This window comes from Homo sapiens, chromosome 1, assembly GCF_000001405.40.
Source record: "Homo sapiens chromosome 1, GRCh38.p14 Primary Assembly".
NCBI classification, from domain to species: Eukaryota; Metazoa; Chordata; class Mammalia; order Primates; family Hominidae; genus Homo; species Homo sapiens.
Genome location: NC_000001.11, coordinates 214,609,699 through 214,625,994, shown reverse-complemented (window position 1 = coordinate 214,625,994; position 16,296 = coordinate 214,609,699). Strand labels below are relative to the sequence as shown.

At 37.4% G+C, this 16,296-nt stretch overlaps 1 protein-coding gene and 1 pseudogene across 3 annotated transcripts in view, besides 1 other annotated feature; one reads left to right on the top strand and one right to left on the bottom strand.

The window, feature by feature from the left end:
• Window positions 1-16,296, bottom strand: part of CENPF (centromere protein F) — a 61,377-nt gene that overhangs the window by 38,577 nt on the left and 6,504 nt on the right. For 2 of the 3 annotated variants that reach the window (NM_016343.4, XM_011509082.4), the window contains exons 2-7: window positions 12,079-12,281; window positions 10,967-11,163; window positions 7,301-7,422; window positions 6,775-6,866; window positions 5,049-5,340; window positions 3,714-3,916 (exon numbers count right to left, since the gene is read on the bottom strand). In NM_016343.4, coding sequence (NP_057427.3) covers window positions 3,714-3,916; window positions 5,049-5,340; window positions 6,775-6,866; window positions 7,301-7,422; window positions 10,967-11,163; window positions 12,079-12,240 — 1,068 coding nt within the window. In that variant the 5' untranslated portion in view covers window positions 12,241-12,281. Of the gene's footprint in view, window positions 1-3,713; window positions 3,917-5,048; window positions 5,341-6,774; window positions 6,867-7,300; window positions 7,423-10,966; window positions 11,164-12,078; window positions 12,282-12,415; window positions 15,976-16,296 lie in introns of those variants that run through there. The other variant, XM_017000086.3, reaches the window with a different exon arrangement.
• Window positions 9,977-11,176: an enhancer, noted in NCBI's record as "BRD4-independent group 4 enhancer chr1:214788162-214789361 (GRCh37/hg19 assembly coordinates)". NCBI's record gives its function as "activates an origin of replication core promoter dependent on BRD2, P300/CBP, MED14 and CDK7 cofactors, and independent of BRD4, by STARR-seq in HCT116 cells {active_cell/tissue: HCT116}" and the evidence as "EXISTENCE:reporter gene assay evidence [ECO:0000049][PMID:35650434]".
• On the top strand, window positions 12,582-13,234 carry UBE2V1P13 (UBE2V1 pseudogene 13; annotated as a pseudogene).

Below are 16,296 nucleotides of genomic sequence, written 5' to 3'. Positions count from 1 at the left end.
ACACACACAAATATAATAGGCTTTCCTTCTCTTCCTCAGCTTTTTAAAATATGTTTAAGAGTTGAAGCAAAATGTAGTTCTAAATGTATGTACAGAAAACATTTAAGACAATTCTATTATAAATGAGGGAGGGTAAAAAGACGAAAAGGGAGAAAACAGTCTGTAAAATTCACTAGAACTAGTGAAATGAAGACACCAACAGACTGTGATAAAATGTGTATAAATAATGTAATATCTAGAACAATCACTAGAAGCTCTACAAAGAGATTCACTGAAAAATATATAGACAAATCAAAATGGATTTTTAAAAAATGTTCAAACAACCCGCAAAGGCAGGAAAAAAAAAGAAAACAAATGAAAAAGCAGAAAGAAATGGAAAACAAAAAATAAAATGGCAGACTTAGGTCACAATATATCAATAATCACATTAAGTATAAATAGCCTAAATATACCCATTAAAAGATAGACAGTGGAGGACAGGTGCAGTGGCTCACGTCTGTAATCCCAACACTTTGGAAGGCTGAGGCGGGTGGATTACCTGAGGTCAGGAGTTCAAGACCAGCCTGGCCAACATGGTGAAACCCCGTCTCTACTAAAAATACAAAAATTAGCCGGGCATGGTCGTGGGTGCCTGTAGTCCCAGCTACTCCTATTCAGGAGGATGAGGCAGGAGAATCACTTGAACCTGGGAGGCAGAGATTGCAGTGAGCTGAGATCACGCCTCTGCACTCCAGCCTGGGTGACAGAGCCAGACTCCGTCTCAAAAAAAAAGACAGATAGTGAAAGAGTATATTGAAAAACATGGCCCAATTATATGTTGTCTACACGAAAGTCGCCTCAATATAACAAAATAGGTTGAAAGTAAAGAGGAAGAAATACATCATGCTAACAATCAAAGGAAAGCTGGAGTGGCTATATTAATAACAGACAAAGTAGACTTCAGAATAAAGAAAATTACCATGGACACTAAATAGTGATAAAAGGGTCAATCCACCAAGACACAGCAATCCCAAATGTATATGCCTTCACCAACAGAGCTGCAAAATATGTGAAGCAAAAACTGGAAGAAATCAAAGGAGAAACAGACAAATCACAGTTATAGGTGGGGACTCCAACATTCTCTCTCAACAATGAATTGAACAACTAAACAGAAAATCAGCAAGTATATTAACAAACTCAACAACATCATCAACCAACAGGTCCTAATGACATTTTTTTGAGCAATATAAACCTAAAGCAAGCAGCAATCAATGAAATTGAAAACAGAGAAAAAAAAAAATCAATGAACCAATGGGCTGATTATTTAGAAAGATTAGTAAAGATCAACAAAACTGACAAATCTCTAGCAAGACTGACACAGAGATAGAGAGAAGACACAAATTACCAACATCAGAAATGAACAAGGAATATCACTACAAATATCAAAAGAATAAGAGAATGCAGTGAATAACTCTATATACATAAAGTTGACAACTTAGATGAAAATACAAACTATCCTAATTCCCCCAATATGAAATGGATAATTTTAATAGTTCTATAACTATTTTAAAAATTGAATTTGTAATTTTAAAACTCCCAGAAAAGAAATCTCCAGATTCAAATGATTTCACTAGAGAATTCTACTTAATATATAAAGAAAGAAAAAAAAATTCTACACAGTCTCTTTCAGACAACTGAAGAGGAAGGAATACTCTCTAATTTGTGAAACTAGGATACCCTGATACAAATATCAAACAAAGATGGCAGGGGAAAAAAAGAAAGCCAACCAATATCCTTTATGAATACAGACACAAAAAATCCTTAATAAGTCATTAGCAAAAAAAAATTCAGAAATATATTTTTTAAATTATACACTGTAAGAAATTAGGGTTTATTCCAAATATGCAAGGCTCATTCAAATGTGTGAAAATCAATCAGTGCAACCCACCACATTAACAAGCTATTATTTTGTACAACTGCATATGAATCTACGATTATCTTAAAATAAAAGTTTTAAGTAAACAAATGAAAGAACCTGCCCCAAGAAAGCAAATAATAGAAGTATGTCTACTACAATGGTTTTTACCTAAAGCCTCAGAAATATCTAAAGAGTTTATTAAAAGTCAAATAATTCATTTTTCTCTACAATACTTATTACCATATACCATACTATCTATGTTACTTTATTTTTGTTATTTTCTGCCTCCCTCTATTAAGATGAAGCTCCACAAAGCAATGATTTTTGTTGGTTTATCACTGTTCCAGCCCCAGGTCTGGAGATTTTTGTCTATTTATCACTGTTCCAGCCCCAGGTCTGGAACAGTGCCTAATATATAGCAGGCACAAATATCAATACATGCTTGTGAAATGAGTCAGTAAATGAATGAGTAATAGAAAAAAGAGAAGAAAAGCCTGGCTAGAGAGGTAGGCTGGGACCAAAGCAACAACAAGAACAACAACAACAACAACAAAATAACAGGCTAAGAAGCTTGGCCTCCGTTGGAGTCTTAAGAAGATTCAGTGGTGGGTGTACAGTCATCCCTCAGTATCCATGAAGGACTGGTTCCAGGACTCCTTGCAGATACCAAAATCTGAGGATGATCAAGTCCCTGATATAAAATGGTATAGTGTTTGCACATAACCTATGCACATCCTCCCACACACTTTAAATCATCTCTAGATTACTTATAATACCTAATACTATGTATATGCTATGTAAAATATTTGTAATAATGTATTTGTTTAGGAAATAATGACAAGGAAAAAAAGGTCTGTATATGATCAGTACAGACAAAGCCATTCTTTGAGACAGAATCTCACCCTGTCACCCAAGCTGGAGTGCAGTGGCACAATCTCTGCTCACTGCAACCTTTGCCTTCCAGGTTTAAACAATTCTTGTGCCTCAGACTCCCGAGTAGCTGGGATTACAGGTGTGCACCACCACACCTGGCTAATTTTTGTACCTGTAGTAGAGACAAGGTTTTGTCATGTGGGCTAGCTGGTCTTGATCTCCTAGCCTCAAGTGATCCGCGTGTCTCAACCTCCCAAAGTGTGGGGATTCGGGTGTAAACCACAGGTGCCCGGCCTTTTTCTTTTTCCCCCTAAATACTTACGATCCATAGTTGGTTGAATCCATGAATGCAGAACTCATGGGTACAATGGACCAACTATATATACGATCTTTTTTCCCCCTAAATACTTACGATCCATAGTTGGTTGAATCCATGAATGCAGAACTCATGGGTACAATGGACCAACTATATATACGATCTTTTTTCCCCCTAAATACTTACGATCCATAGTTGGTTGAATCCATGAATGCAGAACTCATGGGTACAATGGACCAACTATATATACGATCCCAAGAGCAGATTAATTAAATCCTATCAAATGTCCTAAAACTCCTTTAAAGTGCCATTAAGTGCCTATTTTAATGTGGCACACATCATGCTAGATGCTATATATACATTTTCTTTATTCTCTATTACCCCCTGCAACATAAAAGAGATCAGTGACTTGCCCAACGTCACTCAGCTGGGAAAGTACGGCACCAGGCTTGATCCCGGATCTGCCCAACTTAAAACAGCTTTCTAGTTCAGTTGCATCAAGAGTACCTAATATATATTAACAAAGAACATTACTGACATTTCATAAACTTATGTATAAAATACTCTTTCTAAATAATTGTATGAAAAGATGAAGATTTCTCCAGTAATTCACGAAAAGTCAAGTACCTTGGTTGACGCCTGGTCGTATTGTGCTGTTGTTCTCACTAGTTCATCCCTACATTTGTTCAAAACTTTCTCTTTTTCAATTAATTCCACTTTTGCTTTCTCCAGTTGGAGTTGGAGTTCTTGAAACTTATTCACTTGGCCTTTCATTTCTTTTTCATGTCCTTGCAGGCGTAGTTCCAACTCATTAATCTTGTTTCTTAGCTCTTGAACCACAAACAAAAATCACACTCCAATTCATATATATCTTTCCCAAAATGTTCATAACTTATCATTTGTTTTATTCTTTTCTGAAATCTTTGACGAAACAAATATTTACACTAAATACAGAAGCTACTTTAATTGGATTTAATTTCAATAGTTAGTTTCTATTGTCATTTGCATTCAAATACTCTATAGAAAGCAGGAGAAACAGATTTTCTTACATTTTAACAAAGAAACTTGGTGGGGGGAATGCTTTTCTAAAATCAGGAACGCTATCTTCTTATTGAGACTGTGAAAAGTACATCACATATGACACCCTTTGTTAAAATTACCATTTAGTTTTACACAACAGCAAACTATATTTGTTTTTTGCCCATATCAATGCAAATCAGTGCTAAGCAGTGAAAAGTTCACCCTCCTATATTCTCTGGTAGTTTTACCTCCAGTAAACATCAAGACAGTGTGAACCTCCCATACTGCCAAAATTAACAATGATTTTTTTTCCACTTTTTTCCCACATACGCACAACATTGGTTCCAATGGCATTGGCTAGGTGACAGCTCTCACCAGTGAACACTGACAGTGATTTTCAATATATCACAGCACTGGAAATTATCATCTTCTACAGAGTAGATTCCAAAACACCACCTGGTACCCTTGGCTGTCAGCTGCAGCGTGGCACAGCAGCCAAGGTTACAGGTTTGCTCCCATATGGACAACCTGGCAGGGCACAGCAAAGCTGTTCTGCAGACACACACACAACCTCTGGCCAAAGCTGGTCAGACCACAGCCTGGTTCTGTGGGTCACAAAAGGAGCCAGATGAGAAGCATGGGGAGTGTAAACTGTAACCAACCCACTCGCCCTGCATCTGGAAAGATAAATCAAAGCCTCTCAACGTACTTTAGAGGCTTCCAGGCACCAGCTTTTCAATACAAATAAAACTACATTCCAACACTATGATGCCTTTTATCATTATTGAAAAGACAGTATATTTCACATAACCAGTCTAGGATGTTGAACACCGATGTGCCTAACAAAACACATAAGCACTTTATGGGATTAAAAATATCTGAAATCACCTGTGAAATTACCTCAAGCAAAGTGAATTTAAACTTAACTTAGCTCAATGTTACCTTGATTCTGCGCTTTTAATTGATCCAAAAGATGAGGACTGCTAGAATTGTCAAAGAAACTGCTATTAGCATCTCTTTTCCCTATTTGCAAAGTTGATCGACTTGGAGTCACCTCTTGTTCCCCAGAAAAGTAAGATGCAGAGAAATCTCTCCTAATTGGAGTTCTTTGAGAATTAGATGAAAGATGACTTGGGGTCTTCTCTTGCTGCCATGAGAACACAGATGATGAAGCCTGATGCCGGGCAATGTCGCGGTGATTCATGGTGGCTTGTGGAAGAGTCTGGCTTGCTTTCTGTAGAAACAGAATCTCTTTAGAGGCCTTTAAAGATCTTATATACTCAAGGCTATTTATTTTCAGATAGAATATAAAGCCATAATCCCAAGAAGTTAACAGTTGCACTGCATACCAACAAAGAACATTCATCAAGTCAAGTAAACCATAAGTCTAATACCCAGTGATGGAATGTTCTAATGCTCGACTTCTTAGCATTGAAGGAATAAGCTACTACCATCTCATGCCCAATCTATTCAAAATAGGCTAAGTCTTAGTATTTATTCTGCATCCTTCTTAGAACCCATTAAACATATGTGAGTATTCACTTTCATTCTGAATTCCAAAACTGGCTTTTCTTTGCCTGTCCTTGGTTACCTCCCCCTATAGCTTTGCCCAAGAGAATCAAAGTTAAACATCACACTAAAGAACTCTTTCAAAAATCTCACATTCCACCATATCACTATCCCAAAAAAAGTCACATCGAGTGTTTAATAGTATATAATATACATTTGTGGATGATCTACCGCTTTGCATTGTTCTTTCTATGCTTCTCTCTGCCTCCATTCTGACAAATATCAAGACATGGAGGTGAATGCAGCATTAGATTTTTACAGCAAGCACTTTTTTTTGCCATAGGAAGAGGGTTAATGTTTACTAGAGACTCAAATTTTCCATAAAACATCTCTAGGAATCAATGTCAAGAGAAGAATTGATACAAATGACTGAACTGGATGACAAAGCACATGATATTTCTAGGACAAACTAGAGAATGAGTACTTAATTTTTATTCATCTTGATAAGCAATGCCTTTGCTACATATCAGAATCCTAATGACATCAAAATGAGGGTTAAAGTCATGAAAAGAATAAAAATTGTTAAAGCTCTAAGCCAGAGGTACTTCTGCATTCTCAGCATTTAAGGTACCTACTTATAAATTCAGCCTTAAATGGCTTGCTGAATTGTGCCATCTCATCAAGTCCTTATGTTTAGTGGAAAGCCACCAGTAAGTGCCAAACTGGAAACTGTTTTCAGCAAATAACACGTGAACAAAAATGGTAGAGGTAAAATTCAATAGATCAAAAGGACTATATAGGAAGCAACTGCCTCCAGGTGATAAAGCCAGGCAGGGAGCATCACGACTAATTCTCTGGCCCCACTGTCTCCAAGAATAGCCCTGATCGCTAGGTCTTAATAGGGAAATAATTAAGTGTACATTATATGAACATTTAATATTTAGGGATAAACTAACCTCCCCACTCTATTTTATTCATTCCACCCTATTTTTAAAACTAAAAAATAATCACCTCCACTGAGCCCAAAACCTTTTCTCAGCACACACACACACAAAAAGGCCAGCTCTATGTAAAACAGATTTTTCTCTAACCTTGTTCTATTCTATATCAAAGTATTCTATAACTGCATACTCTATTATAGGGCCCATAATTAACTTACTTTAGCCTGCAAGGCTTTAACCTCTGCCTCTAATCTTTTTCGTTCTTCAACCTCTTTATTATATTTTTCTTTTAGATCTTCATACTTGGAACCTAGAAACAGACAATCAAATACAGTTTTCTTTCAGTCATTGATTCCATGAAGGAATTCACAGATCAACAACGATTTTGATAGTCTAGAAATGAGTATCTTAGTAGAAACAACATTTTGGTTAGGGAAATAGATCAAACTATTGATCAAATTACTCAAATATCAAAACACATAAAAACATAAGTGTTTTAAATATTCTGAAATTGAATTTCTTTGAAAATATGCCACAGAAGGATAAAGTAAAAAGCTTAAAAGCTCAATCCAGTAGCTCAACATAATTCAACAGATATGCAAATGGATATGTAACAAGTGGCTGCAGTTTTTAAACATATACATTAAAAGTTTAATTCAAAGTTGAATTAATTCATTTATTTTGCAGAATTAAAATCTCAAGCTAAACAAAAAGCTGTCTATACCAAGGAAGAAAATGCATTACCACTATAATATTGACTTGGTGTTAGTGGAGTTGTAAAAATTTTTTGTGGTGTATTGCATGGATTCAGAGAGACATCTGCAGACTGCGCAGCTTGTTGGCTTCTTTCAAGCTCAGATTTACACCTGTTAGAAAAGGACCCAAGAGGCAGACAAATCAGTTAGAGCAAAGGCTACAGAATATCAATGCCTTACATTCCCAGAGAGTAATAAACTTACAAAGAAACCCATCCACTAAGAATTCTTAACCATTTCATTTATCCAACAGGCATTTCATAAGGTCTAACTTATGTGCCAGACATAAACCCAGTCCTGTGTCTTCAAAGGAACTCAGTCTAGTAAAAGAAACAGAAACATAAACCAGTAAGTACAATGTTATAAAGGCTATAAGGAAGATCTATAATAACCACTATGACAGTGATATGGTTTGGCTGTGTTCCCACCCAAATCTCATCTTGAATTGTAGTTCCCATAATCCCCATGTGTGGTGGGGTGGTGGGGACCCGGTGAGAGGTGATTGAATCATGGGGGCAGTTTTCCCATGCTATTCTCGTGATAGTGCGTTCTCACAAGATCTGATGGTTTTATAAGGGGCTTCCTCCTATGCTTGGTTCTCATTCTTCTCCTTCCTGCCACCATGCGAAGAAGGGTGTGTTTGCTTCCCCTTCCGCTATGATTGTAAGTTTCCCAGCGGAAAAGAAAAGCCCTGTGGAACTGTGAGTCAATTAAACCTCTTTCCTTTGTAATTTACCCAGGCTCAGGCAGTTCTTTATAGCAGTTTGAGAACAGACTAATACAGACAGCAAAGAAGAGTTGGAGGATTGGAATATATTCCAAGCAAATTTCATATTCTAAGCCAAAGACAGAGACATAAAAGAACCTAGAACTTCAGAAACATGGGAAGAAAGTGGTGTCATTGAAGCATGGGCTCAAATCGTGAGAATAGATGACATTACTTAGGTTAGTCAGTTATTTCAAAAACATAGACTTGATATACAGATCATATATTATATGACATTTTTAAAACACAGATATAAAAATTAAATCAATATAATGCATCTAGAAAAGATATGGCTGGAAATAGTTACAAGAAATGGGAAACATAAGTTACATATTGTATATATGTACACCCTGTATAAAGGTATTCAGAACTATCATGCAAGTAAGCTCTGAACACCTTTCAAAACCAAAAAACCCACATTAAAAGAGGGCTCAATTCTTCCAACTCTCTTATGTCTCTGACTTCAGTTTAACATAAAAAATAAAATGAAAGCTCTTTTAGAATGGCTAATGGTGTGCACCAGTCTCTTTGCCGTGACATATTACTTAAAACAGGAAGTAAAGAAAGTAATGCCGGGCCCAGTGGCTCATGCCTGTAATCCCAGCACTTTGGGAGACCAAGGCGGGCAGATAACCTGAGGTCAGGAGTTCGAGATCAGCCTGGCCAACTTGGCGAAAACCTCTCTCTACTAAAAATACAAAAATTAGCCAGGCATGGTGGTGTGCACCTGTAGCCCCAGCTGGGAGGCTAAGGCAGGAGAATCACTTGAACCCAGGAGGCGGAGGTTGCAGTGAGCTGAAACTGTGCCACAGCACTGCACTCCAGCCTGGGCAACAGAGCAAGACTTTGTCAAAAAGAAAAAAAGAAAAAGAAAAAGAAGAAAGAAAGAAAGAGAAAGAGAAAGAAAGAAAGAAAGAGAGAAAGAGAGAGAGGGAGGGAGGGAGGGAGGGAAGGAGGGAAGGAAGGAAGGGAGGGAGGGAGGGTGGAAAGAAAGAAGAAAGAAAGAAAGAAAGAAAGAAAGAAAGAAAGAAAGAAAGAAAGAAAGAAAGAAAGAAAGAAAGAAAGAAAGAAAGAAAGAAAGAGGAAGGAAGGAAAGAAGGAAGGAAGGAAAGAAAGAAACAAAGAAAGAAAGAAAGCCCTTAGCTCCATTTAGCTCCAAATTTAATCTGAGAAGAGGCAATGTATGAGCTAAAAATGACTTCTCAGCAAATCAAACCACCACATCTGAGCTTACAGTAGGAAACAGCAAGGTCCAATGGAAATGTTCCACTAGTATTTAAAAAGCACCGAGAAATAAGTAAAATTAATATTTAATTTAACTTGCTATTTTCAAGATACTCTCATTTCAACTTGTAATTAATAGGAAAGTTACTAATAAAATATTTTACATTTTTTCATACTAAATTTTCAGAATTTGGCATCCATCATACACTACAGCTCATCTCAATTTGCACCAGCCACATTTGAAGTACATCATAATTGCCACTTGTAGCCAGTGACTACCATATTGGACGTTGCAGGTCTACAGATTAGCAAAGATGTCACAAATCTGCTGATTCGAGGTGAATTTTGAAGAATCTTGCAAAACCAGTGTTTCTTTTCCACTTTAAATTCGTATCTTATTCTCTTTTCCCTATCCTTTCATTTTAAACAAAGTTATTTATTACTTAAACAAAAGTATACCCTGCTATTATTTTCATAAACCATTTTTTCTTCTTCCCCCTAAGAAGAAAAACACAAACACCATCATCAAAAAAGCACTACAAAGCTAAAAGCATCTTCTACTAGGTTGAACTATATGAGATTGCCAATCTCCACAGTTTTAACAAACATTCCAAACGGTTCAACCTCACTTGTTGGAGACCTTCCAGAAACCTAATCAGTGACAACTGATGGAAAAAATAAGTTTCTGCAATGCATTTGGAAGTTAGCAGTGTAAATTTTAAAACCATATTCAGTAGTTTTTGTAGTCTACTAGATAAGAAGAATATTTTAAAACCAAATGTGCTATAAGGATATGGCACGAACTCGGCTCACTGCAACTTCCACCTCCCAGGTTCAAGCGATTCTCCTGCCTCAGCCTCCTGAGTAGCTGAGATTAGAGGTGCCCGCCACTACACCTCGCTAATTTTTGTATTTTTAGTAGAGAGGGGGTTTCACCATGTTGGCCATGCTGGTCTCAAACTCCTGACCTCAGGTAATCCACTTGCCTCGGCCTCCTAAAGTGCTGGGATTACAGGCATGAGCCACCTAGCCCAGCCAAAAGGAAACATTTTTTAAATTATCACACAACCTTGCAGATTGGGCCTGCTTATATTCTGTCTCCAATCTCAACTGGGCCCTCCATGCTATTCCGTCCTTTTATAATTCCCTAGTTCTCCCTCTCATTCTCTACAGCAGCTTTTCCACCCAGAGAAAACACGAGCCATCAGTATGCTTCAACTAATTTCCATCTTTTCGGTAACAGCTGTCGATAGTTTTATTTTAACAAGTACTATCATACTATCAAATAATGCTATGTAACTAGTATTATCATACTATCAATTTGATAGTATGATAGTACTATTTATTATTGTATTACTCAGTGACCAATAGTGTCTGAATCATGGTACAGCTTAATAAACATATACTGAATGAATACATGAGTAATGCAGCAAACATTTGATAAATTTATATCGTACTGAGCTATGCAATGATAAAACCAAATCACTGTTTGTTTGTTTTTAATCTTCCACTCTTTCAAGTTACGGTACAGAGACCGAATCATTACTTATTCTACCAGGAAAAAAAATTGCAAAGTATAATAATTATATTGTTAAAGGAAAAGACAAACGCATCTGATTAATACATACAAATATCATCCCTATAAATACCATCCCAAAATATTACCTTTTAAGTTCCTGTTCCAGTTTTTCTATTTGTTTTTTGCCTGAATTCAGTTGTCCTTCCTGGAAATTCACTTGTGACTCCTTGACTTGAAGTTCATGAGAAATCTTCTGCTTAGTTTTCTCCAGACTTTCACATATTTCCATCAATCTTTGATTCTCCCTTTTCAGGTTTGTACCCTCGGTTTTTTCATTTTCAACCTAATGAGAATTGTTCAGAAGACAATAACTCCCTTATTTTGTGAATTTACCAAGTATTATTGGTAAACCTGAGTCTAACATTGACTACTAAATTCCTGAGATACAGCTGCAATAAGCCATATGAACACAGAAATTTTAGATGATCACACTTTGAAGCCAATAGATAGGAAACTTCTTTGAAGCCATGTAGTATATCATCTTTGGCCAGACACACCCATCCTAGAAAGGGAGTCTTTACTATCCTTTCAAAAATTAAAAAATAGGAAATAAATCCTATAAATCTCCCTTAACAATTCATTTTCAAGTTTGGCTGCTAAAACCAGTTATTGTTAGAAACCAGAAAATTCTCCCACAAGCAAAATCCTTTTAGAAGCAATGACTGTATCACTATTTAGTTGGCTAATAGAGAGGTAATTTTTAAAAAGTACTGTTTAGTTTTCATTTTCTAGACCTGAAAAGGTTGAGGAATACCAAGGTAAAAAGCCCAGTCTAAGAAAGCCACAACCATTTAACTGCAAAATGCTCTAATACTGTCCCCAGATTAGGAGCAGACACCTTTTGCCTTGTTGCTATGCAGTGCAAAAGCAATCTCCAATTCATGGTCCCACATGGAAGTTGAAATGGAACTCAATAGCCCTAAATATTAGCAGGTAAGCAGAAATGAGGACAGAAATGGGGAAAATTAAAAGCAATTAAAATAAAAATGACTCAAAAAAAAAAAAAGAAGGGGATTGGGGCCTGGGGTGGGGGTGGGGGAGGGGAGAGGAATTACCACCTGAAGACAGCAAAATCATTTTTCTCTAAATGTAAAGAAGATGAAATAATTAATCCAAAAATGAGTGAACAGTTTTAAATACCAGCACTTCTCTGTCAATAATGAGTGAACAGCTACAAATACCAGAGCTTCAGGGGTACCTTCTGTTTTTGCTTCTGCAGCGCAGCCTCGAGACTGTCAAGCTGAAACTGCCTTTGCTGCTTTTCCTTCTTCAGTTTGTCAAGCTGTCCTTCAAGCTCTTGAATTTTCTGAAGAGCTCTTGTAGGCAGCCCTTCTTTCCATTCTTCCAAAGCCCAGCTCATTTTGTTCTGCCTTCTTTATTACTCCAACATTTGTAAATAAACTGAAAAGAATAACCAGACTGTTGGTCTTACCACAGTAAAAGGAAACAAAGTCTCAGAAATTAATGAATCTATCTAACCACCCCTAAAAATCAAGTTTCAAGACCACATTTCAAAAGATAACAAAGTATAATACCTATCTTCTCCATCCTCTGAAAGGTGGCAACCAATAATTGATTCTGAAGTACATACTGTCCTGCTTAGTTTCCCTTTGCTTTCTGTTTTTCTTATTTCTCGGTGTTGACTTCTTATATCACTACCTGCTTTCTATTGCTCAGTTTTTTCATTATACAAAACATGGGGCAACAGTGATGCAAGATGGCAGTCACCACAGGATCAGGAGTAAAAGTCTCTCGAAGTTTCCAACTGATGGAAGAACTCGAAGAAGGCCAGAAAAAGGTAGGAGGTGGCATAGTTAGCTGGTGTTTAGAAGATGATGAAGACCTGGGACAAGATGGACAGGGATGATAATTGGGCCTCCAAGAATGATTTACGAAAATCAAGTATACAGCCTTAAAATAGAATGTATCCTAAATGCCCAGAAGCACCCTGCCTTTGTAAGATTTGTAACAAAAATTAATATAAATAGGGTTAATAGTTGTAATGGAGTGGTGGACCAAAAAGCCATATCAGTGCTAGCAAAATGGCAGAATTCATGTAGCATCAAAGTTGTCCTACAAGAGCTTTGGTGCCTAATGATGTCTAAAGAAAATGTGACACTCCTTCAGCTGCCTGAAGGACAGGGTTACAGCAGTTAATCAAAAAGAAAAACCATAGGCCCTTCCCCTTCCTGCCCCCCATTCAATTTAAACAGTCTTCATCTTCCACAGTAGTAAATTTTCTAGATATGCCTTGTAGACCTCAAAGGACTAGAAAGGAAGCTCCCATTCAAAGGAAATTTATCTTAAGATACTGTAAATTATACTAATTTTTTGTCCATTTGAAATATGTTAGTTGCGCTGTAACAATCATCCTGCCATGTGTAACATCCTGTCCACATACTTGAATTTCTGGGATCAAGAAAGTATATTTAAATTGATTCCCATCATAACTGGTGGAGTACATCTAACTCAACTGTGAAAAGACATATCACATAATCACCTTGCTGCTGATTAAATGGCCTGGGGCCTCTGCCTTCTCCTGTGGGATTACTGTTGGGTGTACAGGGTACTTTGTCTGTACCCCTGGTTTCCAAAAAAATTAAGGAGGAGGGACGCCTCCTCAACTCATTCTATGAGGCCAGCATCATCCTGATACCAAAACCTGGCAGAGACCCAACAAAAAAAGAAAACTTCAAGCCAATATCCTTGATCAACGATGCAAAATTCCTCAAAAATATACTTGCAAACCAAGTCCAGCAACACATCAAAAAGCTAATCCACCATAATCAAGTAGGCTTCATCGCCAGGATTTACGGTTGGTTCAACATACGCAAATCAATAAATATGATTCATCACATAAGCATAACTAAAGACAAAAATGACATGATTATCTCATGCAGAAAAGCTTTCATTAAAAATTCAACATCCCTTCACGTTAAAAACTCTCAATAAATTAGGTATTGAAGGAACATACCTCAAAATAATAAGAGCCATCTATGACAAACCCACAGCCAACATCATACTGAATGGGCAAAAGCTGAAAGCATTCCCCCCTTGAAAACTGGCAAGGAGGCCCTCTTCCACTACTCCTATTCAACATACTATTGGAAGTCCTGGCCAGAGCAACCAGGCAAGAGGAAGAAATAAAAGGCATCCAAATAGGAAGAGAGGAAGTCAAACTACCCCTGTTTGCAGACAACATGATCCTACATCTAGAAAACCCCATAGTCTTGGCCCAAAAGCTCCTTCAGTTGATAAACAACTTCAGCCAACTCTCAGGATACGAAAATCAATATACAAAAATCACTAGCATTCCTATACACTGACAACAGCCAAGCCAAGATCCAAATCAAAAATGCAATCTCATTCACGATTGCCACAATATGAATAAATCACCTAGAAATACAGCTAACCAGGGAGGTGAAAGATCTGTACAATAAGAATTAGAAGGCTGGGCTCAGTGGCTCACGCCTGTAATCCCAGCACTTTGGGAGGCTGAGGCGGGCAGATCACCTGAGGTCAGGAGTTCAAGACCAGCCTGGCCAACATGGTGAAACCCCATCTCTACTAAAAATACAAAGATTAGCTGGGTGTGGTGGCAGACGCCTGTAATCCCAGCTACTCAGGAGGCTGAGACAGGAGAATCACTTGAACTTGGGAGGCAGAGGTTGCAGTGAGCTGAGATCGCACCACTGCACTCCATCCTGGGCAACAAAGAGCGAAACTCCATCTCAAAAAAAAAAAGAATTAGAAAACACTGCTCAAAGAAATCAGAGTGACACAAATGGAAAAACATCCCATGCTCATGAATATGAAGAATCAGTATCATTGAAATGGCCATACTGCCCAAAGCAATTTGCATATTCAATGCTATTCCTATCAAACTACCAAAGACATTGTTCACAGAACTAGAAAAAACTATTTTAAAATTGATATGGAACCAAAAATAAGCCCAAATAGCCAAGACAAGCCTAAGCAAAAAGAACAAAGCTGACAGCAACATGTTACCCTACTTCAAACTATACTACAGGGCTACAGTAACCAAAACAGCATGGTACTAGTACAAAATCAGACACATAGACCAATGGAACATAATAGAGAGCCCAGAAATAAGCCGCACACCTACAACCATCTGATCTTTGACAAAGCTGACAAAAACAAACAATGGGGAAAGGATTCCCTATTCAATAAATGATGAGATAGCTGGCTAGCCATATGCAGAAGAATGAAACTGGACCCCCTCCTTACACCATATACAAAAATTAATTCAAGATGGATTAAAGACTTAAATGTAAAACCCCAAACTATAAAAACCACAGAAGACAACCTAGGCAATACCATCCCGGACACAGGAATGGGCAAATATTTCATGACAAAGACACTAAGAGCAATCACAACAAAAGCAAAAATTGACAAATGAGATCTAATTAAACTGAAGAGCTTCTGCACAGCAAAAGAAACTCAACAGAGTAAAAAGACAACCTAAAGAATGGGAGAAAATATTTACAAACTATGCATCTGATAAAGGTCTAATATCCAGCATCTATAAGGAACTTAAATTTACAAGAGAAAAACAACAACCCCATTAAAAAGTAGGCAAAGGACATGAACACTTTTCTAAAAAAAAAAAAAAAATACATGTGGCTAACAAGCATATGAAAAAAAGCTCAATATCACTATCATTAGAGAAATGCAAATTAAAACCACAATGAAATACCATCTCACACCAGTCAGAATGGCTATGATTAAAAAGTTAAAAAATAACAGATGCTGGCCAAGTTGAGAAGGGAACACTTATACACTTTTGGTGGGAGTGCAAATTAGTTCAACCATTGTGGAAAGCAGTATGGCAATTCCTCAAAGAGCTAAAAACAGAACTACCATTCAACCCAGCAATCTCATTCCTGGGTATATACCCAGAGGAATATAAATCATTCAGCCATAAAGACACATGCATGGCCAGGCACAGTGGCTCATGCCTGTAATCCCAACACTTTGGGAGGCCAAGGCAGGTGGATAACTTGAGCTCAGGAGTTCGAGACCAGCCTGGGCAACATGGCAAAATCCCTTATCTACCAAAAAAAAAAAAAAAAAAGGCACATGCACACACAAATGTTCATTGCAGCACTGTTCACAATAGCAAAGACATGCAATCAATCTAAATGCCCATCAGTGACAGATTGGATAAACAAAATGTAGTACACATATACCATGGAATACTATGCAGCCATAAAAAAGAATGAGATCATGGTTTTTTGCAGGAACATGGATGGAATTAGAGGCCATTATCCTTAGCAAACTAATGCAAGAACAGAAAACCAAATGAACACAAAGAAGGGAACAACAGACACTGAGGCCTCCTTGAGGGTGGAGAGTTGGAGGAGGAAGAGCAGAAGAAAAAATAACTATTGAGTAT